Source organism: Homo sapiens, chromosome 21 (assembly GCF_000001405.40).
Source record: "Homo sapiens chromosome 21, GRCh38.p14 Primary Assembly".
NCBI lineage: Eukaryota > Metazoa > Chordata > Mammalia > Primates > Hominidae > Homo > Homo sapiens.
Genome location: NC_000021.9, coordinates 5,022,311 through 5,047,223, shown reverse-complemented (window position 1 = coordinate 5,047,223; position 24,913 = coordinate 5,022,311). Strand labels below are relative to the sequence as shown.

General features: G+C 56.8%; 1 protein-coding gene across 11 annotated transcripts, besides 1 other annotated feature; it reads right to left on the bottom strand.

Moving 5' to 3' along the window:
- Positions 1-24,913: part of a sequence alteration artifact (region identified as an assembly artifact by the Genome Reference Consortium. This region falsely duplicates sequence located at GRCh38 chr21:44095806-44253496) that runs on past both edges of the window.
- Positions 541-24,693, bottom strand: LOC102723996 (ICOS ligand). 11 transcript variants are annotated; one of them, XM_047440643.1, is made up of 8 exons: positions 24,531-24,693; positions 22,452-22,551; positions 22,175-22,215; positions 20,594-20,944; positions 18,999-19,289; positions 15,007-15,171; positions 13,781-13,816; positions 541-1,805 (listed from the first exon to the last, which is right to left on the bottom strand). In XM_047440643.1, the coding sequence occupies exons 4-8, from the start codon at positions 20,916-20,918 to the stop codon at positions 1,618-1,620; spliced, it is 1,005 nt and encodes a 334-aa protein (XP_047296599.1). In that variant the 5' UTR covers positions 20,919-20,944; positions 22,175-22,215; positions 22,452-22,551; positions 24,531-24,693; the 3' UTR covers positions 541-1,617. The 11 variants fall into 11 exon arrangements, with proteins under 11 accessions (XP_047296599.1, XP_011544380.1, XP_047296600.1 ...); XM_047440646.1 differs by lacking the exon at positions 541-1,805 and adding an exon at positions 6,552-13,144; XM_047440647.1 differs by lacking the exon at positions 541-1,805 and adding an exon at positions 10,453-12,642.

Genomic DNA, 24,913 nt, shown 5'->3' with positions numbered 1-24,913 from the left:
GTCTGCTATCCGTCACGTGATGCTATACCAGAGTCAGGCTGGAATTTGGTGTCTTATTGCCACATAGAGTGTGTTCCATCCGTCTTAGGATCCTGATTTTAATGTCAGGACTGGCCAGCTGTGCCTCAACTCTGAAAGGGAGGGTTGTGGCTGTAACCAGCAAAGGTCTGGCTGCTCACCGCTTAAAAAGAAGCCACGATGACAAGAGTGGGGCGTGATAGAAAGAGAGTGAGCTGCCGGGCGCGGTGGCTCACACCTGTAATCCCAGCACTTTGGGAGGCCGAGGCGGGCAGATCACGATGTCAGGAGATCGACACCATCCTGGCTAACACGGTGAAACCCCGTCTCTACTAAAAATACAAAAAATTAGCCGGGCGCGGTGGCGGGCGCCTGTAGTCCCAGCTACTCAGGAGGCTGAGGCAGAAGAATGGTGTGAACCCGGGAGGCGGAGCTTGCAGTGAGCCGAGATCACGCCACTACACTCCAGCCGGGGTGACAGAGCGAGACTCCGTCTCAAAAAAAAAAAGAAAAGAAAGAAAAAAGAAAGAGCGTGAGCTTCATTCTCATGCTAGCAAGGGGGAGATTGGCCGGAATCCTTTCCAAAAATGGCCACTCTTCAATTTGTAGAGGGACGTGTAGAGGGGGTCTGGAATGCAGGCGAGGCAGGGGCCAGGAGGTGCCAGGTGACCTGCTCTGATGGCTTCTCTTGAGTTATTGTTCCATCTGTTACAGTAGGCAGCTGGTCAGACATGAGCAGGGCAGGAGAGGGCCCTCCCAACCAGGAATGTCAGGCGACCATCAGTGTTGGTCGGGTGGCTGTTAACTGTCTCTCTAAAATAATAATTGGTCACAGCCAACGCCAGGGAAAGGCAGCCTCCCAACAGACAGAAAAATCCTTCCCCATAAGACCTCAGGCATTGGGTGAGTGGGCTCAAGCATGTGTATTAAAAGGCAAAATTGTGGAGTGTAACTGGTCTATGGCCTCCTAGGGACATTTGACAGGTAAGGGAACAACGCCTCAGGTAAGCAGGCGCGCAACTCCAGTAAACACATAGCGCGTGCTCCTCCCAAGGGCTGGCAGCCACTGCACATGTGGACAGCCCACCCCAAGGGAAGAATCAGGGGAGAAGGCAGGCCAGACCCCGGAAGCGTGCCAACATATAAAACCCCAAGTCGAAGGTCAAACCACACACCTGTCCTTCAAGTCACCTGCTTGGCCCCCTTCCAAGCGTCCTTTCCTTCCTTTCATTCCTGCTCTAAAGCTTTTTAATAAATGTCACTCCTGCTCTAAAACTTGTCTCGGTCTCTTCTTCTGCCTTCTGCCCCTTGGTCGAATTCTTTCTTCTGAGGAGGTGAGAATTGCGGCTGCCGCAGACCTGTACGGATTTGCCACCGATCACAGGTTTTGGTGCCGTGTCACTTGGATAACTTCCACCACAAACACATCTGGTGAAGGGGCTGCGCCATCGCGGGTCGCCCCCAGATTAGAAATCAATCACAGTCAATCTTGCAGTGAGTCTTTAGCCAGGAGTAAGCTCTGGCCTCAAAGTAACCCGCCTGCTGGGGAAGGAATTCTGGAGATGCCTGGTTCGTCCCAGGATCTGGCCCCCAAAGCTTCTAGGAAATAGATGACCAGACAGGTGAGCATGGTGTGCACTCAGCAAGCATCCAGATAAACAAATGTGCACAGGGCCCGGGAGCTGCAGGTGGGAGAGGGAAGGCAGTAGGCTCACAGCTTGCTCCCAGGCTGGATTTCAAGATGAAAGGAAGCACATCTGTAGTTTGCTCAAAGCCATGTCTTGAGACTGGGGAGAAAGGAGGAAAGAAAGGCCGTGTTAAAACACAGTTCGAAGCTGAGCTGCTCGGTGACATAACGAGGCCTGTGCGACCACCCAGGAGGAGGTTTTTCAGGCTTCTCTGGGGTGGACATGGCCAAGCGGGGGTCACTTCAGTTGGCTGGGGACTTCGGGTTTTATTTTTGGTTTACACTGGCCTGGGATGGAACTGGGCAGTTCTAATGTGACTGGGTGTGTACTGGTGGCTTCACTCACCCAGGGCAGGCAGGCACCTGGAACCACGACTCAGAAAGAGGCAGGAAGGTGGAGTGAGAAGATGGAGCTATTAGGGGCGTGGCAGGGGCAGGTCAATCACCCTGAGGCTTCGGGGAGTTTCCTGGTCTCCAGAAGGGCAGTGTGCTCACCCTCCCCTGTGCATGGTGTTGTTAAGAGTGTTATCAGGAGTGTCTGCTGAGCTGTGACTTTGCCGTGCCATGCAAATACTCACAGGCAGCACTACTGTCAGGAAGATGGAGGCTGGGCCGGGAGGCTTGCTTTCAAGGCCACGAGTGTCAAACCCACAAACCGCAGAGCAGAACAGCCTTGGCCAAGCAGATGAGGAGGGCCTCATCCTCCATCTCCCGCCACCATCCTCTTCCCAACTGAAGTCAGAGGCGGGGAGGTGGGAAGTCCTGTCAGAGGCAGGGAGGTGGGACGCCCTGGGCCAGACAGATGATCCAAAGCCCTTGGTTTTAGGTACCATCTCTTCGATGTTTCTTGGCTGAGTAAACCAGCCCAATCTCTTTTTTATAAAATGAGACCACAGGTTGGCCTGAGAATGGAGAGGAGTGAGGAATCTAGCTGTTCTGGGGCCCCGGGCTGTTCAGAATCCATTGTAAACCATTGGAAAGCAGGTTTGTGTATTTGTTTAACTGCATCTTGTGGCTGGTCATTGTCTCTGTCTAAGCTCTCACCCAGCCCGGCTGCCTTCCCTGAGTCCCCACCTGACCTGCACAACTGCTGAGGACGAAAGCCTGTGTCCCCGACATGCACGGGAGAGCAGTGTCTTCCCAGGCCCTAGAGTGCCTGGCTGTGTGGGCAGCCCCAGGGCACAGTCTTCTAAAGAACCTCATTGAGGGTCGGGGGTCGGGGGAGTGGGCTCCAGGGTCCACTCCCAACCTTACAGCTTTTACCTCCGGAATCCCCAGGCTTCTGTCAGGAGGGTGCCTGAGTGGCTTACAACAAGAACTTTGCCTATCCCTTTACTGTTCGCAAAACACCATCTCAAAAATCAGTCAACATGGATTCCAAGTTTTGCCTTAGGCCACACTGGATGGAGTTGCCCCCGGCTGGAAGACAGGACCTTTATCCCCAGTGCCACAGGAGGATTCCCCTGTGTGGCCTCCCCACCGGCTGTGCCCTAAGATCAGTGCTGTGTGCACAGCCCAGCAGAGGAGCCCAGGAGACTCCAGCAGGCAGGGAGCTGCTGCCCCAGGAGCACATTCCAGCATCTGGAAACACCTCCCACTGCAGCTGCAGGGGAAGTGCCTGGAAGAGAAGGAAAAGAAAGAGGAGGAGGAGGAAGAGGAGGAGGAGGAGGAAGAGGAGGAGGAGGAGGAGGAAGAGGAGGAGGGTCGTGCCCACGCTCATGGCAAGCGTCACCCTGGAGCTTTCTGTCTCAGTCCAAGCACATCCACCTGCCCTTCCTCACTGCATTCTCCCAGGGGCCCCTGGCTGCACACAGGCATGGCCTGCATTTGCATAGAGGGTCTGGGCCCTTGGTGGAGGGCCTGGCCTGCCCCATCTTGGGTCCTGGCCCAGTGTTGTGGCTGCCAACCTGCCCTCAGAGCTTCACGGGAACCAAGGGCTCAGGCTCTGAGTGGAGTCCGGGTGGGCCTGGGCAGCCTTTGCCGGAGAGGCTCCTTCCTGACATGGCTCTGCTGGAGGAGAAAGTGTCAGTTCCTCTCTCAGGCCCTGTAGACAGGTGTCCAGGTAGACAGGAAGTTCCAGAGGTGATTTTAGCTCAGTCTGTTACTTTTCTGCTGGCAGGCTGGCTTTACTGTGGTTGTCCCTGTGGCCGTTGGCTGATGTTGCTGAAATTCCAGGGCTCTGGAGTGTCCACATGTCCACGGGATGGGAAGCCTGTTGCAGACCAGCCACCATGTCCCTGCGGCTCAGGACCACGCTCCTGAAGCCCAGAGTCCTGCCCTGGGAGCAGGTCTCAGTCAGGACTGACTCCTGAGAAGAATGAGAGGGGAAGTGCCTCCAGGCCGGGATGCCAGCTATAGCAGCGCCCTCCAGCAACGTCCTGGAGGAAGCACCTCATTCGTGCCAAACTCACTGATTCTAATTCGTCATCGTGATTCTTCACAATGAAGAAAAACTCCAAGCCAGTGCCTTCCTGGGGCATGGCAGGCCTCCCTCTGGTCTGAGCAGGCAGCTGTGCCCAGACCTGGGCTCTTCCGAAGGCATGTGACTCCCTTGCACACAGCCGGGTTCTGCTTGATGCTTCTTCACGGTGGAGGCAGAGAGGTTCCCGGGGTTACCCCATCGTCGATAATTTCATCGTTGATACTTTTTTTTTTTTCAGATGGAGTCTTGCTCTGTTGCCCAGGCTCGTGGCGCGATCTCGGCCACTGCACTGCGCTGCAACCTCCGCCTCCTGGGCCACGAGTGTCAAACCCACAAACCGCAGAGCAGAACAGCCTTGTTCTGCTGCCTCAGCAGCCACCATGATTCTCCTGCCTCAGCCTCCCGAGTAGCTGGGATGACAGGCACCCACCATCATGCCTGGCTAACTTTTTTGTAGTTTTGTAGAGATGGGGTTTCGCCATGTTGGCCAGGCTGGTCTTGAACGCCTGACCTCAGATGATCCACCTGCCTCAGCCTCCCAAAGTGCTGGAATTACAGGCGTGAGCCACTGTTTCCAGCCTTTGTTGATACTTTCTAAACCATCCCTCCTAAGCCCGGGTGGCTTGCTGCCTGCAGGGCTCCTGACCTCAGTGGCTGACTCCCCACACCCGACTCCAGCCTGTCCTCCCTGCCTGCTTACCTGGCCGGGTTTTTCCCATTTCGATCCCTGCAGAGGACAAATTAAAGTGAAGATTGTCACCTGTGGGTGGCTTGGGAGAATGAGAGGCAGAGAGGGTCAAAGTGATTGAATTCTGGGTTCAGGAAAAAGGGATATGGGTAATGTGTAAAAGAAGAAAAAAATACAGATGATTTGGTTAAAAGCAATTCGATCAAACACAAATTACTCAAAAGGATTTCTTGGCAGAAATGAAAGATTATTTGAACAATAATGTTCGACAATATCCAATCTCTATCTGGTAATTATCTGGATTTATCCAACCATAGGGTATTATTTCTAAATACCTAAATTAGGGGAATACCTAAGAAAAATGTTATCTTGACTTTTTTGTTGTTGTTGAGATGGAGTCTCCCTCTCTCACCCAGGCTGGAGTGCAGTGGCGTGATCTCAGCTCATTGCAACCTTTGTCTCCCGGTTTTAAGCAATTCTCCTGCCTCAGCCTCCTGAGTAGCTTGGATTACAGGCGCCCGCCACCACACCTGGTTAACTTTTGTATTTTTAGTATAGATAGGGCTTCACCATATTGCCCAGGCTAGTCTCAAACTCCTGACCTCAGGTGATCCGCCCACCTCGGCCTCCCAAAGTGCTAGGATTACAGGACCGCACCCAGCCAATTGACAAATTATTTTTAATTTTTTTTTTTTTTTTTTTTTAGACGGAGTCTCGCTCTGTCACCCAGGCTGGAGTACAGTGGTGCCATCTCGGCTCACTGCAAGCTCCGCCTCCCAGGTTCACACCATTCTCTTGCCTCAGCCTCCTGAGTAGCTGGAACTACAGGCGCCCGCCACCACGCCCGGCTAATTTTTTGTATTTTTAGTAGAGATGGGGTTTCACCGTGTTAGCCAGGATGGTCTCGATCTCCTGACCCCGTGATCTGCCCGCCTCGGCCTCCCAAAGCACTGGGATTACAGGCGTGAGCCACCGCACCGGCCTGTTTTTAATTTTTATTTATTTATTTATTTATTTAGAGATAGGGCCTTGCTCTGTCACCGAGGCTGGAGTGCAGTGGCACAACCATGGCTCACTGCAGCCTCGACACCCCTGGGCTCAGCTGATCCTCCCACCTTAGCTTCCTGAGTAGCTGGGATTACAGGCACATGCCGCCACAACCAGCTAATTTTTGTATTTTTTGTAGAGAGAGGGTTTCACAATGTTGCCCAAGCTGGTCTCAAACGCCTACACTCAAGCGATCCTCCCGTCTTGGCTTCCCAAAGTGCTGGGATTATAGGCGTGAGCCACCATGGCGGGCTGACAAATTAGCATATAAAATATGACTTAATTGTGGATTTTTATAGTTATGGACCCTAATGGGCATAATGAAAGTTATGTATGGAAGCACACCTCAGAGCAAAAATACTTAGAGTGAACCATGGTAATAAGGCTTCAGAGTCCTTTATTTATGTATTTATTTATTTGAGACGGCGTCTCACTCTGTTGTCCAGGCTGGAGTACAGTGGCACAATCACAGCTCACTGCAGCTTCGACTTCTCAGGTTCAATGGATCCTCCCGCTTCAGCCTCCTGAGTAGCTGGGACTACAAGTGTGCGCCACCATACCCGGCTAATTTTTTAAAAATGTTTTACAGAGATGGGGTCTCACCATGTTGCCCAGGCTGAGATTATTTTTATTAAAAAAAAAAAGATTGCAATATGAACTCTCTCCCTTCCTAAACAGATAATGCAGACTTTTTTCCTTTCAAATGAAGAGGTTTTATTGGAAGTTGCATAGAGAACACAGTCAGTCACGAGAGCAGAAGGAGCAGGTTCCAGGATTCTGGGGAGATAAGGGTCCAAGCTGAGAACTCCCCTGAGAAGTCTGTATGCAGACAGCCCCGGGTGATCCTGGCTGTCCAAGGGCTGAGGGCGGGTTGGGAAGGGCCCTCATCACCCCAGGGGCCAGCTCCCCACATAGCAGCTGAGTAGCACCCAGAGAACCCGGATCTTCACTCAAGGTGGCTGGCAGCAGAGCCACAGCCCAGGCCACCAAAGCCACCAGAGCCCCTGTGTGGCAAGGATCATGATGCGAGGGTGGTGAGTTGGTTGCTGTTCTCAGCAGGATCCTGGGTGTAAATGGCCATGCCTGTCCAGCACGGCTTATGGGGCTGAGCATGTGAGAACTTGTGTGGCCTGTGCCTGTGCAAACGCGTGTGCCCTGGGTATCACACCCAGAGCCCTGCTGTGTGAAGAAGCCTCAGTCATCACGTGTGAGCTCACAGTGGGCTGGTCATGGGGCCCCTTCCACATGGTGCACTGCTGCTGCAGGAATTGCTGTGTCTGCAAATTCTGGACATACCAGACCCTAAATAGAATGCTGGGAGCAGGCAGGTTACAGAAGCCTCTGAGTGCGGCAGCTCTATGGGAACTGGGGTGCTTCACTTACAAGTATTTGAGGTATTACAATGTATCCAATTTTTTTTTTTTTTTTTTTTGAGACGGAGTCTTGCTCTGTCACCCAGGCTGGAGGGCAGTGGTGCAATCTCGGCTCACTGCGACCTCTGCCTCCCGGGTTCAAGCAATTCTCCTGCCTCAGCCTCCTGAGTACCTGGGATTACAGGCGCCTGCCACCGTGCCCAACTAATTTTTTTCTTTCTTTCTTTCTTTTTTAGTCAGAGTTTCGCTCTTGTTCCCAGGCTGGAGTGCAATGGCGCCATCTTGGCCCACTGCAACCTCTGCCTCCTGGGTTCAAGCAATTCTCCTGCCTCAGCCTCCCGAGTAGCTGGAATTACAGGCATGCACCACCACACCTGGCTAATTTTGTATTTTTAGTAGAGATGGGGTTTCTCCATGTTGGTCAGGTTGGTCTTGAACTCCTGACCTCAGGTGATCTGCCCACCTCAGCCTCCCAAAGTACTGGGATTACAGGTGTGAGCCACCGTGCCTGGCCAATTTTTGTATTTTTAGTGGAGACGGGGTTTTACCATCTCGGCCAGGCTGGTCTTGAACCCCTGATCTCGTGATCCACCCACCTAGGCCTCCTAAAGTGCTGGGATTACAGGCATGAGCCACCGCACCCGGCCTGTTTATTTTGTTTGTTTGTTTAACTCCCCCTGCACCTCCGCCAAAAAAAAAAAATAAAAGAAAAAGAAAAACTAACCTGTAACTCTGAAGTGTCTGGTAGCCAGGTGCGGTGGCTCGCACCTGTAATCCCAGCACTTTGGGAGGTCGAGGTGGGCAGATCATTTGAGGTCAGGAGTTTGAAACCAGCCTGACCAACATGGTGAAACCCTGTCTCTACTAAAAATACAACAATTACCTGGGCATGGTGGCGCACACCTGTAATCCCAGCTACTTGGGAGGCTGAGGCAGAATTGCTTGAGTCCGGGAGGCAGATGTTGCAATGAGCAGAGATTGCACTCCAGCCTAGGTGACAGAGCGATACTCTGGCTCAAAAAAAATAAAATAATAAAGTCTCTTGCCTTTGGAGTCGGGCATGAAATCTTAATCCGTGAGTTTTCTACCTGGGCCATGGTGGGCCACTGACCACCTTCGGCCTGGATGAAGGCTGGCCCCCAGAGGGTTGCCAAGCTTTGCCAGTGCTCCCTGGCCTGCGTGGGGCCTGGCTGAGGGCGAGGGCAACAGGAATGCATTGTGTCTGGGGCTGAGCAGGACTTGCGGTGCCTGGGCCCTTTGAGCCTGGTGACTCCTGAGTGTGACTCCTGAGTCTGACCCCATCACCCGTGTGGGCTGACACCAGCACCTTCCACGCTGTGCTTCTGTGTTTGCCGCCGGTCTCCAGGAGTGGCCGCTTCTCCATCAAATAATACCCCAGTCTTCACGCCCATGGCTTCCCCCAGACCCCAGCCCAGCCCGAGAACAAACGCTCCATTTTCCCTCCCTTACAGCTGCGGTGGTTGCCACCACATGGAAGGCCCAGAGGAAGGGAGGTCTGGAGTGGCCTGGAGCTGTGGCCTCCCCAGGCTACGGCCAGACCCACCAGGAGGAAGCCCCTTGCAGGCTCTAAGGTTAACGCCGCCAAACCAAGTCCTGATCCTGAGAGGCTGGCTCAGGATGAGGATGGGCGGTGGTGTCATGCACAGGCACCTGAGGTCCCTGGCTGCTGTGGCACGGAGAGGCCCCCACGGAAGGACTCCGCAGGTGCTGGAGCTCGCTCCCTGCATGGATGGCTGCAGCCTGGGCAGGGATAGGGGAGCAAAGCTGCAGGCCCGGCTCATCATGGAAATTCAGACCGGTGAGCCATGGAAGGACATCGCCAAGTCCATGTAGGGTGAGCTGGGGACAGCATGGGGAGTGGGAGGGGGGACAGTGGGGAGAGGGGAGAGCGGGGTGAGCTGGGTACAGCATGGGGAGGGGGACAGTGGGGAGGGGGGAGAGCGGGGTGAGCTGGGGACAGCATGGGGAGGGGGACAGTGGGGAGGGGGGAGAGCGGGGGGAGCCTGGGGACAGCATGGGGAGTGGTGGGGGTGGGGGAAGGTGGAGGGAGGGCAGTGCATGGAGGACAGTGGAAGAGGGAGGCAGTGGTGACAGTGGAGAGGGAAGACAGTGGGGAGGTAGAAGGGAGGAGGGTAGGACAGTCCAGCCCCCATTGGCAGGGGCAGCTGGGGAGAGCAGGCCCCGCCTTTGTGTGCCCCAGGGCCTGGGCCTGCCTGGTTAAGAGTCTGCACACTCCTAGAGCTGGAGCTTCTCAATGTCGCTCTTGGAAGGTGACCCCACACTCCGCTGGGGATAATGCAGGGGGCCCAGGGGTCCTCCCTGGGAAAAGTGTGCTGTGCCCCGCCATAGGGTTCGTGGCAGAAGCCCCTCCCCTGAGCTCAGGCCTCACCTCCGGCCACTGAAGACAAGGAGATGCAGAGAGGAGGCCTCTGGAGTCTTGCCCCTTACCCCTGCACCCCTGCAGCACAGGCAGGGTGTGGTGGCCGTCTTGGAGGCACCCGGGCCTGGACAGCTATTCCAAAGCCATAGCTGCCCTCCCCAGGGTGGGTCGCTTGGTCTTAGGAGCGTCCAAGCTGCAGAGCCCAGTAGACAGAACCTGGATCCAGCGCCTCACTTTACAGGAGGGGAAACTGAGGCACAAGCATGTGCTACCTGGCTCGGGGGCCAGCAGGCAGCCTTTTCCCTTCTGTCACCTGCCCTAGGGATGGACCGCCCCATCTGCCAGCCTTGAATGGAGCCTCCCTGGTGGATGTTTACCGCACACCTACTACGTGCAGGGTGGTGCAGCTGGCGAGAGTCCCCTCTCCTGTTCCACAGACCGGCAAGGTTCCCCTGAGCCCTGGGGCAGGCAGGACCTTTGGCTGGAGGTGGGTGTGCAGGGCAGGGTCTCTGAGGGGAGACCTCAGACTGTGGACTTGCGGGTGGACGCTTCTCTCTGTCGGGGCCTCCCGTGTCCAGAAGATGTTGAACAGCATCTGAGGCTTCCACCCGCTGAAGCCGAGGAACAGCCCCCAGCTGTGACAACCCAAAATGCCTCCAGACCTGGCCCCATGTCCTCCAGGGGGACGGAACAGCCTGGTGTAGGGCAGGGTCCCCTGAGCAGGAGTGGCACCTGTTCCTGCTCATACCACAGACAGCTGAGCTGGCTGTGCCCAAGACTCCCTGCACCCACCGAAGCCACTGGATACAGGCACGATTTGCATCTTACTCTCTTAAGTCAGGTTTCTGGAGATGGCTGTCCCAACACTGGAATCCAGCCTGTCTACAGCAAGGGAGAAAGAGGAAGCTGATGTTGGGCTGAGAGGGGCAGGCGTTACAGGGTAGGTCTCACAAATGCCGACGTGACAGGCAGGGCTTCTGAGGGGGCTTCAGGGACCAGCAGGGAGGCGAGACTCAGGCACTGACCCGCAGAGAGCATGGCCTTGGACGCACAGTGGTGACAGCAGCCTCCAAGTGTCCCCCGTGCCCTCAGGCATGAGGGACAGAAGCTTCTGGGGCCCCTGCCTCTTTCCTGCCCATCCCCTGGTGAAGGAAAATCGCCTCTGATAGGAAAAGCTGGGGCCAGACTCCCTCTCCCTGCATTAGTGTCGCCGTCCTGCCTGTGAGGTCCCCGGGCCCAGGGCACCTCCCGGGACACCCGAGTGGTGATGCACGACCCTCAGTCCTGGGGCTTAGGATCTCTGGGTGCCCCCGCAGGTCCGTCCTGGAGTCACTTCACAGTCACTGCAAATGGGCACCACAGCCCACTTTCCAACGCCCCAACTTTCCACACCCAAGCAGCTCCTTGTCCCTGCCAATCAATGCCCGGTGATGACAACTGTTCTTTTATAAACACCACACATCTTCTAATGCTTTCATGTTAAAAGCGGGAGTGGATCCCACATTCACCTAAAGGCCCAGGTAGGGACTTTTTTTGCAGAAAACCAATTTCTTGTAACAAGTACTGGAACCTCATTGTAGCCTTGAGTCCTCACTCCTCCTTTTGTTCTAAGTCTGGGTCTGAGAAGTGCAGGCCTCACACAGCTGTCAGTTCCAAGTGACCAGGGCTGTAACAGGTCCTGGCTGACCCTGGGAATGTCAGGGGATTCTGGGAAGTAAGAAGGAGGGGCATTTGCCCATAGCCCCGGGGCAGACAATGTGTCCCGAGGGCCAGGCCAGGCTGTCTACTCCATCTCCCTGGGGCGAGTGCACCTCGGGTCACCTGGCAGCATCCTTTCCAGCCCTTCTGGAGACAGTCAGCAGCTGATTCATTCCGGGAACCAGCATGGCAGGTGCCGGGGCTGGTCAGGGCCCAGGGCTGTACCCCTCAGCACTGCCCCCTTGGGACTGTTGGGCTCCGAGGAGCCTGGCGCTGGGGTCGGAGGTCTTCATCAGGACCCTGGGGACCCTCAGGGTTGAGTGGGGTGGGGCTGCTGAGGGTGGTGGGGGCCGGGGGAGCCACCTCTCACTTTGGGGATCATTGCTGAGGTGAGAAGGGGGACTGTGGCCACCAGGTGATACCCTCTCCATGCACCTAACTGCTGCTCAGGACTCTGGGGACCGTGTTGCCAGGCCTGCGCCTGCTGGACATGGGCGTCTCCAGCCCTGCTGGGCTGTGTCTTTCTCGCTGCAGAGCCAAGAGCCCCGGCAGCCCCTGTAGCCAAACACGGCCCTGGCACAGCCTTTCTTCTGGCAAACTCCACCCGTGCGTCTTCCAAAGGTGGCTCAACTTTTCACCGGAACAGCCGAGGGACATTGTTCCTCCCAGGGAATGTGGCAGAGGACACTGAAGCCCAGTGGGGACTTCCGGGGGCTCCTCGGTGTGGACGGCTAACTACACTTGTGGGCACACACATGAGTGGGTCCTGTGGCTTCCGGGCGGGAGGCAGGTTGGGAGCGTTCAGGGCAGAAGAGCTCCTGTGACCGTGTCCCCTGCAAACAGCCTCGCGTGACCCCAGCAGCACAGAGGCCGTCCTGGAAGAGCGGACGCCCAGTCTTCTTTTTAAACCAAACACCCTTCGGTCTCAGGATCCCGCATCCCACGGGAAGACCCACAGTGGGTCTGGGGTACTGGGAAGAGCCTGGTGCTGAATCCCGCACGCTCCGGGTAGAGACAGCCCATCACCAGTCCCTTCCTGTGGGTGACTGGCAGTGACAGCGGGGAGCCCACTCACTTGGGGACATTTGCCTTTGGTGTGGATGACGCTTTTGAAAGGGCCTCATTCCAGGATCACAGCCAACGCCAGCAGGTTCTCCCTGGGATCCAGCAGTGGTCCTTCTGGGGGCTGCCCCAAGTGCTCCCCTGCAGTCTGGGAGTCCATGCTCAAGCTGCCACCTGGCCTCTCACGGTGGCGTCTCACGGAAGCCCTGTCCACGCTCTGGGCGGTGAGCTCCGGTCAAACGTGGCCTTGGAAGGGAGATGAAGGAGAGAGAGGAACATGAAGCACCCCTTTCCCTTCTGCAGGCAGACGCCGGTTTTCTCAGGACTCAGCTTGGTGGAAACACAGGGTTTAAAGCTTCGGAAACAGCGGCCTGTTCAGGGAACTTCGACTGGCTCCGACGGGAACAGGCCGGCCGTGTTTTTAGCAAGCTGTGTTCCTGCATCATCTGGATGGGCCGACCTGGCCTTGGAAGTGCGTTTCTGCGGTCGGCCATCAGCTCGCCTGGGTCCACAGGTGACACCACAGCGTGGTGGCTGCGCACACCCTGAGCCCACTGTCCCCGGGGAACCCCTTCTCCTGGGCGGCAAACAGGGCTCGGAGGGGATCCTGGCCCATGGCGGGGAGCCCGGCTGGCCTGCCTGCGAAGCCCAGCGCCCCTTGCAGCCAGAGGCACCTGCCAGGTGGGTGACCGTGTGTGGACATTTTTCCCAAATTGGACAGGAATCCACATCTATGTTGCTCCTGGAACTGAGGGGCAAACGAGAGCTGCAGGAGTGGCTGCCACAGAGAGAAGCTGGCGGTGCCCGGACCCGCTCCGGACACCCCACAGGGGCTGGGCGCCGGTGCCTGGACCCGCCCTGCACACCCCACGGGGGCTGGGCGCCGGTGCCTGGACCCACTCCGGACACCCCATGGGGGCTGGGCGCCGGTGCCTGGACCCGCCCTGGACACCCCACGGGGGCTGGGCGCCGGTGCCTGGACCCGCCCTGGACACCCCACGGGGGCTGGGCGCCGGTGCCTGGACCCACTCCGGACACCCCATGGGGGCTGGGCGCCGGTGCCTGGACCCGCCCTGGACACCCTGGTCGGGGCTGGGCACTGGGGAGCGCGGGAGTCTAGCACTCGTCTCTCTGCTTCTGTGCATGTTGGGAAAATCCCATCGCAGTGTGACAAAGTGCACACCAGGATGCCATCCCATGCCAAGGGGAGGCTGCAGGAAATGCCGTGCGCACCATCGAGGGCTTCGCTGCGTCTCCAGGAACAACAGTTGTTCAAGGCAAGGGACTTCTGCCTTCTGAAAGTTTTTTGAAACTCTGAAAGACAGCTGGCAGCCAAGCCTCCCCTGGGCCCCCCAGAACCTGCTGCTTCCCACGGCAAACTCACCAGTGAGCTCTGTCTCCGGACTCACAGCCCAGGCACCTGGAGGACAAACCAAAATGGTCAGGGCAGCAGCGACGGGGGGTGTCCCTAAAGCCCCTGGTGTTCCTGAGCTCTCAGCAGCCCCCTAAACACCCTACTTGGAAGTCTCCCCGAGGCTCCCAGCTCCAGGCGGGGAAAACACTCACAGATGAGGGGCTCCCCAGGCCACGTGGCTTTTGAGAAAGATCCTCTTAAAGGGGTACGTGCCTGGGAAGCACTTAAAATGCTGTGACCTGGATCTGGGGCCCTTCTGCGGCCCAGCCAGCAGTGGCATCATGGCCGTGGAAGATGTTTCTGGGATGACTGAGATTGGCCACAAATGGGAAAGCCAGGGGCAGCCCACAGGAGCCGCCCCTACTCCGTGGCCACTGCGCCTGCACTCCATTGACTGCCACCCTTGGGGGGTTCTGGGAAGAGCCCCCCCCGTCATCAGGACCATCACTGCAGCCAACGTTCAGGGCTTCCTGCGCCACTGCGTCCTGCTGCTGTGTCTTACATGGCTGAAACACAGACCTCCGGGCTCTGTCGCGGAGCTGGCCAGAGTCACAGACCCACAGGGCAGGAGTGCTCAAGGCAGCCTCAGCGGCTTCCCTGGAAATGACCACCACCCCGGCCTCTACATGCAGAAGCCACCCTGCCCACCCGACCTGCAGGGCAGACCTCGCAGCGCCCTTCTGGCTTGGCAGTGTCAGGAATGTCAGAGATGCTGGGTTTCAAAACCACTTTGTGGGATAGTTCGGGTTGCTAAGCCTCATGAATATTAGTGCTACCACAACAAAGTTCCTTTGTTTTTTTGGGGGGGACAGAGTCTTGCTCTGTCGCCCAGGGTGGAGTGTAGTGGCGTGATCTCGGCTCACTGCAAGCCCCGCCTCCCGGGTTCACGCCATTCTCCTGCCTCAGCCTCATGAGTAGCTGGGACTACAGGCGCCTGCCACACGCCCGGCTAATTTTTTGTATTTTTAGTAGAGACGGGGTTTCACCGTGTTAGCCAGGATGGTCTCGATCTCCTGATCTCGTGATCCACTCGCCTCGGCCTCCCAAAGTGCTGGGATTACAGGCGTGAGCCACCGTGCCCAGCCTACCACAATAAAGTTTCAAGCTAAATCAGTATCAGTGAGGGAAGTTAAAGCAGGCAAACATTCACACCAACAGGACAAACACTAACATCCACAATATGGGGCCGTCTCTACCTGCATAGCTGTGTTGGAGGCATCGGTCCCTGCACACCCAGCCTATGGCCACCGCCACGACCACAAGCAGGCACAGGACAGCCAGGATGCTCCACGTGGCCGCGTTTTTCTCGCCGGTACTGACTGGATTCTCTGTGATCTTGTCTCTCTCTCCGATGTCATTTCCTACAAGAAAGAGGAAAATAACCCGACTTAAAGGATCTTAGAGGAAAAGGGTCTTTTTTTTCATCCTTGAGTAGAAAGTGTTGCAGGGAAGTATTTATTCCAGAGAACTTCCCTGACATGATTTTGAGGTTTTAAAAACACCAAACTGATGAGATGAGGGTTTTCTCTTGCAGAGGGGCTTCATTTCCTGCAGGGATCTTGTTCCTCCTCGTCCTACCTGGGAGGGGCGATAACCCCAACCACAGCCAGGGGACCATAGGGCTGGGTATGGTGGGAAGCACAGGTTCTTACTGGATTTTTTTTTTCTTTTTTTTTGAGGCAGAGTCTTGCTCTGTTGCCCACGCTGGAGTGCAGTGGCGTGATCTTGGCTCACTGCAAGCTCTGCCTCCTGGGTTCACGCCATTCTCCTGCCTCAGCCTCCCGAGTAGCTGGGACTACAGGTGCCCACCACCATGCCTAGCTAATTTTTTGTATTTTTTTAGTAGAGACGGAGTTTCACCATGTTATCCAGGATGGTCTCGATCTCCTGACCTTGTGATCCACCCACCTCGGCCTCCCAAAATGCTGGGATTACAGGCATGAGTCACCGCGTCCGGCCCTTACTGGATTTTTAAAAATCAAAGTGAGGTCAGGCACGGTGGCTCACGCCTGTAATCCCAGCACTTTGAGAGGCCAAGGCGGGTGGATCACCTGGGGTTGGGAATTTGAGACACACCTGGCCAACATGCAGAAACCTTGTCTCTACTAAAAATACAAAATTAGCCAGGTGTGGTGGTGCATGCCTGTAATCCCAGCTACTCGGGAGGCTGAGGCAGAATTGCTTGAACCCGGGAGGCAGAGGTTGCGGTGAGCCGAGATCGCGCCATTGTACTCCAGCCTGGGCAACAAGAGTGAAATTCCGTCTCAAAAAAAAAAAAAAAAAAAAAAGGTGAAAGCCACATAACATAAAATTAACCATTTCATTTTATTTATTGAGCTTTTGAGACAGGGTCTTGCTGTGTTGCCCAGGCTGAAGTGCAGCGGTGTGATCATAGGTCACCGCAGCCTCGACCTCCTGGGCTCAATCAGTTCTCCCACCTCGGCCTCCCAAGTAGCCGGGACTGCAGGCGTGCACCACCAGGCCTGGCTAATTTTTTTTTTGGTAGAGATGAGATCTCACTATATTGCTCTGGTTGGTCTTAGGGCTTAAGTGATCCTCTTGCCTCAGCCTCCTAAGTAGCTGCAACTATAGGTGTGCACCACCTTGCCCAGCCAAAATGAGCCACTTTATGCTTTATTTATTTATTTACTTTTTTGAGACACAGTCTTCCTCTGTCACCCACTCTGGAGTGTAGTGGTGCGGTCTCGGCTCACTGCAGCCTCCGCCTCCCAGGTTCCAGCAATTCTCCTGCCTCAGCCTCCCGGGTAGCTGGGATTACAGGCACATGCCACCACACCTGGCTAATTTTTGTATGTTTAGTAGAGAAGGGGTTTCGCCATGTTGTCTAGGCTGGTCTCAAATTCCTGACCTCAGATGATCCACCCACCTCAGCCTCCCGAAGTGCTAGGATCAGGTGTGAGCCACCCCTCCCGGCCCAAAATGAACCATTTTAAAGTGAACAATTCAGGGTGCCAGTGCCATCATAACCACCACCTAATTCCAGGACCTGTAACCCCCAAAAGGGAACCTTGTGTCCATGAGCAGTCACTCCCCACTCTTCCCTGCCGTCTGCTGTCTTTCTGGGCAGTTCATCGGGGAGAATGGTCGTGTCCATTTCAGATGGACTGTGAGCCCGTGTCAGCAGCAAGAAGGAGCAGATCCAAATGAGGGGGTCTCAGAACAGCTGGGGCCTCTAATTTTTCTCTTAAATTTTGTTCTCATTTAGTGCTTCATGGCACTCCCTTCAAATTTCACTTTTAAAACTCTAGCTTGGACGTGGTGGCTCACACCTGTAATCTCAGCACTTTGGGAGGCTTAGGCAGGAGCATCGCTTGTGTCCAGGAGCTTGAATCTAGCCTGGGCAACACAGTGAGGCCCCATCGCTACAAATAATCAAAATTAGCCAGGCGAGGTGCATGTGCCTGTAGTCCCAGATACTCAGGAGGCTGAGGCAGGAGAATTGCTGTCCTCCTGCACCAGAAGCCTCCAGTTGCTTTGTGTCTCAGTGGCTCACCCTATTCTGGACACTTTGCATAAACAGAGTCCCACAGGCTTGTCCTCAGGTGTCTGGCTCTGTCACTCGCATAATGGCCTTGAGGTTCTCCACGCCGCAGCGTGCGTCAGGACAGCGGCCTCCTTCCTTTTTCAGGCTAATTCTCCCCTGCACGCATGGATCACGTTTGGTGCATCCGTCCACCCACGAGGAACACTCGGGTGGTTCCTACCTTCTGGCTGCCATGAACATTCACGGACAGGCATTTGTTTGAGTCCCTGTTCTGAATCCTCTGGCCTATATCGCTAGGAGAGAACTGCTGGGTCCTGCAGTGCTTCCACGCTGAGCTTTTCGAGGAACTGCCACAACGTTCCCCATGGCAGCTGCGCCCTTCTGCTTTTCCGCCACGATGCACAAAGCTAACAATGCCTCTGGTCTCTGTGTGCAGTGCCCTTCAGAGAGCCGTCCTCACCGGCAAACAAGCAGCGGCATCCCCCTGGGAGCTTGTTCTGAATGCCCGGCGCGTCTCCAAACACACTTGGAGAAACCACCTGGACGGTGCTCAACCTTGAACCTCTGAAGCTTTTAGACACTGTCCCGATGCCAGGTGCCAGCCCAGAGCTTCAGGTGCAATGGGTCTGGGCATGGGGGCTTTCATAGGCTGCCCAGATGACCCCACTGTGTGGCCGGGGTTGAGACGACAGCCCTGGGAGAAGCTTCTGCTGCCACCTGGGCTGCTCTGCGGGGAGTATGCTGGCTGGAAGGCAGTTATCAGAGGCTGCTTTGGGAGCAGCCCCTCATCCCGCTGCATGCAGCTCAGACACTCTGAATGTTGAGTCAGAAGGGCTGAGCCCTGATTTCAAGAAGGAGAAGGTCCGGCTCTGCCGGGGATCCTGGCGGCCAGGGTGGACTTCGAGGGTATGACCTGTGCAGGCTTCTGGGGTTGAGCTCAGAAAGGCCGGCAGGAGGTGCAATGCTTGTGGTCACTGTCTGGAATTCTTAATGCTCCCGAAACAAGGAGCCCTGCATTCTTGCTTTGCCCAGGGCCACACGGTGAGTCCTGCTGGCAGCCCCTTTCCTGCAGCCAGCAGGGCCCCAGGACCCCTCCTCGATCATCTCCTGCCTCCATCTTCTGCCTCTCATCCTGACACAGGAGATGGGGACACAAATGGGGAGGGCCTGTGTCCTCTACAAAGGAGTCCCCGTAGAGGAACCCCTTCCACAGGGCACCCCTTCCACAGGGAGGGGCTGGGCCAGCAGCCGTGCGCAGTGGGATTCCCGTGTCTGGGGGCTTCAGTCTTCTCAGGGGACACACGCCCAAGAGGCAGGGAGCTTGGGTGGGGGCTGCACAGCTGTGGGCTTCTGTTCTGGGCTGCTGCTGCCTAGTGCTGCGGCTTCTGAAGTGTTACCCAGCCTCAGAGTTCAGCCCTCATCTGTAAAGTAGGTTTAAGAAAACCGACTCCAGGTGAAGAAAATGGAGCAATATGCACTGGGCACGGCACCCATTCCTGTTCCCAGAGACCGCGGTGGTTCTCACTGTGCGGCATGTGCCTCTCACCTCCCCTCCCTTCCAACCACCTTTCGGGTGCTGAGCCGCGTCGAAGGGACTTTTTGTCTCCTACCTCAGAGGCTCTCCCAAGCCAGCCCTGGCCCCACTGTCGGGCACAGCTCAGCACGCAGGCGCCGGGACCTTACCTGTCTGGCTGCCGACAGTCAGGTTCTGCTGCAGAAGCACGTTCTCTATGCAGCAGCCAATGTTCACGCTGGGGGTCCGTGCGATCCTCAGCACGCTGACCACGTCATACAAGCCCCGCATGTTCAAGAAGACGGTGTCATTCTGCAGAGCCTGGTCCAGCAGGCTGTTGTCCGTCTTATTGATCCAGTACACGTTGGGCCTGGGGTAGCCGTTTATGGATGTACACGTGAAGGTGAGCTCATCCTGGGAGGGGCTGTGGGGGGCGCTGACGACGGGCACGCTGAAGTTTGCTGCAGGGGAGGGAAACAGATTGTGAGAGATGCCAGACCCTGCTGGTCAAGAAACAGAGGGTACACGGTGCCAAGGCTGGGTCAGAGGGGAGGCGGCCCATTGTGCCCCGACATGGGTGACAGGCCAGGACCAGGGCTGTGGTCCGAGCAGCAGGCTCCGCCCTGTCCTGCCCAAGAGTCATCCCCCAAGCCAGTCCCAGTAGCCAGGGACCGCTGAGCCTGTCGGGCAGTGACTGGCACCCACAGACCCCCCACTCCACAGCCGTCGGCTGTGCCGGGACCCCCTCATTTGGATCTGGTCATTCTCACTGCTGACACAGGGGCTCACAGTCCATCTGAAATGGACACAGCTGTTCTCCCCAATGAACTGCCCAGAGCTCCTTGGTTGCCTCTTATTTTTCTCTTAAATTTTGTTCTCATTTAGTGCTTTATAGAGTTCCCTTCAAATTTCACTTTTAAAACTCTAGTTTGGATGTGGTGGCTCACGCCTGTAATCACAGCACTTTGGGAGGGTGAGGCAGGAGGATCGCTTGTGTCCAGGAGTTTGAGACCAGCCTGGGCAACATAGTGAGACCCCATTTCTACAAATAATCAAAATTAGCCAGGCGAGGTGGCATGTGCCTGTAGTCCCAGATACTCAGGAGGCTGAAGCAGGAGAATTGCTTGAGCTCAGGAGGTCAAGGCTGCAGCGTGATCACGCTACTGCACTCCAGCCTGGGCAACAGTGAGACCCTGTCTCAAAAAACAAACTAATTGGCCAGGCGCGGTGGCTCACACCTGTAATCCCAGCACTTTGGGAGGCTGAGGCGGGCGGATCACGAGGCCAGGAATTTGAGACCAGCCTGGCCAACATGGTGAAACCCTGTCTCTACTAAAAATACAAAAATTAGCTGGGTGTGGTGGCACGCGCCTGTAGTCCCAGCTACTCGGGAGGCTGTGGAGAATTGCTTGAACCCAGGAGGCGGGGGTTGCGGTGAGCCAAGATTGTGCCACTGCACTGCAGCCTGGGTGACAGAGCGAGACTCCGTCTCAAAAAACAAAAACAAAAACAAAAGCTAACTAACTCAAGAGGCAAAGACAGCAAGGGTAGGAGCTCTTCCGGGAAACCAAGCAGCCGCAGGTCATGCACTAAGGATTTTTCAGCTGTTTAGTTTCCCTCGAAGTTAGACAGAAGCCTGATAACACAGATGAGAATTTTCTTCACTGGAAGAAACAGTGAATGAGCCAGGGAGGGGGTTTCATGAACACTTGTCCACGATGTGAGGCTGGGATGGACCTAGCTCTCCCCGCCTCGATGGTCCTACCTGCCACATGCAGTGTAACCTCAACGCTCAAAACCTCCTGGAATCCCAGGGATTGGCTCAACACCAGGCAGTGAAACTTCTGCTCGTCCTGGGGGGTGACGTTGAACAAGCGCAGGGAGAAGTCGCCCCGCAGCATGCCGGCCGGTGACATCAGGGCTCGGTTCCGGTAGCGGCTGTCCACGTTTTCCAAGGAGCTGTTCTGTGGGATGTGGTAGGTCACCACGGTTTTCGACTCACTGGTTTGCCAATATACGTAAACATCATTTAAATCAAAACGGCTTCCTTCAGGGCAAGCGCAGCTGAGCTCCACGTCGCTGCCTACCATCGCTCTGACTTCCTTCTCCTGAGTATCTGCAATGGCCCAAAAGGTGCAAAATCTGTTTTCGGAGGCTGATGCCCAGGCCATGAAGCTACTCTATGGGGCAGACTTTGGGTTTCAAGCCTCAAACACCAACGGTGGCTCAGAATTTATTAACAAGGCACATGTAGGAATGCAGTCAAACTTGAAAAACGCAGACATTTCATGGTGAGGTCCATGTCAGTCTTTGGCTTCGATGACACACTCCTGTTATGTAAGGGGCTGCCATGGGGAGGAGCGGCTGGATGGGGCCTGGCCGCTCAGTGTTATTTTTGTTACTCAGCACTACTTTTACTACTTCTCGGGAGTCTATAATTAATGCACAATAAAAAGTTCTTTAAGGGAAAGGCATTTAAGGGAAAAGAATTTCTCAGCAATTACATTATATTGCTGCTCACTTGCAGTAGGAAAGCTGTCACAAATGTGGCAGACACAGGGTAGCTTTACTGTTTGTGCAGCTACGTAAATGCCTGTGGGAAAATCTTTTTTTTTGAGATGGAGTCTTGCTCCGTCACCCAGGCTGGGGTGCAATGGCGTGATCTCAGCTCACTGCAACCCCCGACTCTGGGGTTCACGCCATTCTCCTGCCTCACCCTCCCAAGTAGCTGGGATTACAGGTGCCCGCCACCATGCCCAGCTAATTTTTTGTATTTTTAGTAGAGATCGGGCTTCACTATGTTGGCCAGCCTGGTCTCGAACTCCTGACCTCAGGTGATCCACCCGCCTTGGCCTCCCAAAGTCCTGGGATTACAGGAGTGAGCCACTGCACCTGGCACCTGCAGGAAAATCTGTGTGTGTCCCCTGCCCCCAAAGCCCTCTGGGCTGGAAGGCTTGGCAAGGTTTCAGGTTTGTGCTGCGGTGCTTCGTCCTTATTCCTGGCTCTTCCAGAGGCTGGTGGCTCTTAGGGCTCAGCAGGGCTGCTGCCTGGGACAGGGAGACCAGGGGACCCAGGAAGCCCTGGCTCAGAGGAACTGCATTCTGCCCGCAACAAAGACGGAGTCAAACAAGAACTCCGGAGTTTGCAGAAGTGTTTCCCTTTAAGGAAACGCTTCTATCCTGTGCAGCAACCTAGGTTTAGGGTCCAACTGTCTCCAAAGGACCACTTGAGAAGCAAGAAGGAGCCTGGTGAGGCTGCTCCCAGTGCCCTGCGGCCAGCAGTCCACACAGCCGGAGAGCCCATCTCTGAGCTGGGCGCCCCATGGCAAAGCACCCCCTGAACTTACCAGCTCGAAGGCTGCTGAAGAGCAGGAAGAGCAGTCCAGGACTGGAAAAAACAACCAGAAAGGCAGGTGAGGCGGGGCCACCAGGGAGTTACCTGTATCTTCCAAACAGGAACAGGCTGGTTCCCATGAGCAGGAGGTAGTTAAGCCCATCACAGAAATGTGAAGGCAGAGCCAGGAGCCTGCCTGCCTCTGTTCTCCATGGGAATTCGGGGTCCGGGGCCAGGACCACCACCCTCCTGCCCAGCACAGCAAGTCCGAGGGGCTGGCAGCCTCTCACCACTCTCTAGCTCTCGCGGTAACAAATCCCCAGAAACACAGTGATGCTGGCGTGAGGATGAAGGGGAGCGAGGGACGCCAGTGAGGCTGGTCTAGCCTTCCTGGGGACAGATGCCAAGAAGTTGTAGGAAATCAGAAAAAAAAAAAAAAAAAAAAGCTTTCAGGGCACATATAGTAGGAGTGTCACTTAAAATGCTGGGGAGACGGAGAACATCAGGCGTGCCCGTGACAGGGTCAGGTGAGTGACGGGACAGCCCTGTGCGGAACGCGGATCATTTTGAAACCAAACCTGAGCTCCTCCTGTTTCAGATCCTGCTGCAGCTGGTGCCCCTGCCTCGGGCAGCAAATTCCCCTCGTGACTCCAATGCCCCTGCCATCTTGGGTCTGGGAGCCTTTGCACCCTGCACGCCACAGGCTCGCCACCTCCTCCCGCCAGCCCCCAGGATGCCTTCCCCACGTGGGGGCCCTTAGTGGCCGGGACCACTTTGGTAGCAGTGCTTACCCCAGCCCCCCAAACCATCAGTTTCTGGGGCCAGCTCCCCATGAAGCAAGAGCCCCAGGAGCAGGGACATCTCCTTCTCTGATGTCCCTGCACCTCCAAGGTCTGGGAGACGCTCATCCCTCTTCTCTGTGGCCTCTGCCTGGGAAAGCTTGGGGGCTTTGTAAGTCAAAGGTTGGTCTTGTGGGAACCTCCCAGTGGGCTGTCCCTGAGCCCTGGAGCCACAGAAACCCCTGCCCCACCCACGATGGCTGTCATCTGAGTCTGCATGGAGGTGTGTCTGTGCCAAGTGAGCACACATGCACCAAGGCGGCCCCTGGCCACCAGGGGCTCTTGAAGTCTGCAGGCGGCCCTTCCTCTCTCTCCCACTCCCCCTGTTGGGGCCACCATTCTGGCTGGCAAGATGGCTGTGATGGCCTCCAGCAGGCCCCCTGCCTCCACCCTTAGCCCCTTCAAGCATTTCCCCAGAGCCACCATCTAAACGACAGCTGTGAGAACTCCTCTGTGCCCCCATTTGTCTCCCACAGTGCCCATATTCATCACCAGCCCACAAGGCCCCTCCTGTCTATGGAGGCCTCCTCAGGACATCTGGGGGCTTCCTGGGCCAGGGTGGGGGGTGCCTGCTCCAGGCTGTTTCTGGCTTGTCCCCTCCCTGGGTGCTGCCTAAGCAGCGGCCTCTGTGTCCTTTCCTTGGACCCTCAGCACCCCTGCATCTAACCTACCCCCACCCCGAGCTTGCCTCAAGACCCAGCATGGACAGGGCCGCCTACCTGAAGGTGTGGGTGGCGGAGGGCTAAGACATTTGGGAGGGCTATGACATTCCGGGACCTTTAAATTCTTTCTCTCTAGGGCAGGATCATAACTGCATACACTTCTAATGGGGAGGGGACCTGGGGAGTGTGACTCCGGTGTGGCCCAGCTCTGAGCTGTGCGGGAGGCATCCCTGGGGTCAGGGGCCTCACAGGTTCACCCAGGGGAGCACAGGCTGCGGACCCTACAACGTGGGTTGCGAAGAGTATATTTTGGATATTTTCGCAAAAATCCAGGAGGAAGCTGTCACTCCTGGTTCAGGCAGCCCCGCCTTCCCCAGTGTGGATCGGCTGCCGGGCTGCGGGGAATCCCACGTGTGTGGGGGAGGGCGTGTCCGCAGACCGTGGGCACCAGCTGGCCTTGGAGAGCGCTCGGCCGGTCACCTCCCTCCTTCTCCCTTCTTCTAGGAAATCAGCAGTGCCAGGGAGTGGAAGGGGCAGCGCCCGTGCCCCGGCGTGCAGGGTGCGCCCGCCTTCCCTCCCTCCTTCCAGCGTTCGCGGTCCTCCTTCCCTGGCAGGGACCCCGCCCCCGAGCCCGCCCCCGCACGGCTGTGCGTCCTGCCATGGGTCCCGGTGCCAGGCCCCGCCGCCCACTGCCGTCCACGCCCCGCCGGCCGCCCCGGCGCCTCCGCCGCCCGCTCCTCGGACCCGCACTGCCAGCCCGGCACCTCCAGGCGAGCCCCGCAGGCCCCGCGTCCGAGCCGAGCTGGGGACGCGCGGGCCGAGCCACCCCGCCCCTGACCGCGGCGCCTCCGCTCCTTCCCCGGCTCACCTGCCCAGCCGCATGGTGCGGGCGGAGACCTCGGGCCGCGGAGACCTCGGGGCGCGGAGACCTCGGGGCGCGGAGAACTTGGGCCGCGGGAGACCTCGGAGAGGAGCAACCTCGGGGCGCGGGAGATCGGCTCTAACTGCGCTCCCGCCGCGCCCGAGGCTCTGAGCGCCCAGCGCGCGGTGTGCTGGAGGCAGCCGTGTCCCCGCCCCGTCCCCGCCCCGCCCCCGGCCTGGCTCCTCTGGCGACCGAGACCGCCCCGGGACAGGAGGCGGGGCGCTGCGCGGCGGCTCCGGAAAGTTCGGCTCTGCCCAGGCGTGTGCCCGTCGGCCGGAGGCGGGACAGAGGCAGGTCGGCCTGTCCGCCTGGACGCGGACCTGGGCGCC

Excerpts from the sequence above, each read along its gene's own strand:
- LOC102723996 (XM_006723899.3), bottom strand. Across the intron at positions 20,945-22,174 it reads CTTCAGCAGCCTTCGAGCTG|ATACTCAGGAGAAGGAAGTC; the intron begins GTAAGTTCAGGG and ends GGGCCATTGCAG. Across the intron at positions 13,817-15,006 it reads CCTCCAACACAGCTATGCAG|GTGCCTGGGCTGTGAGTCCG; the intron begins GTAGAGACGGCC and ends TTTGTCCTCCAG.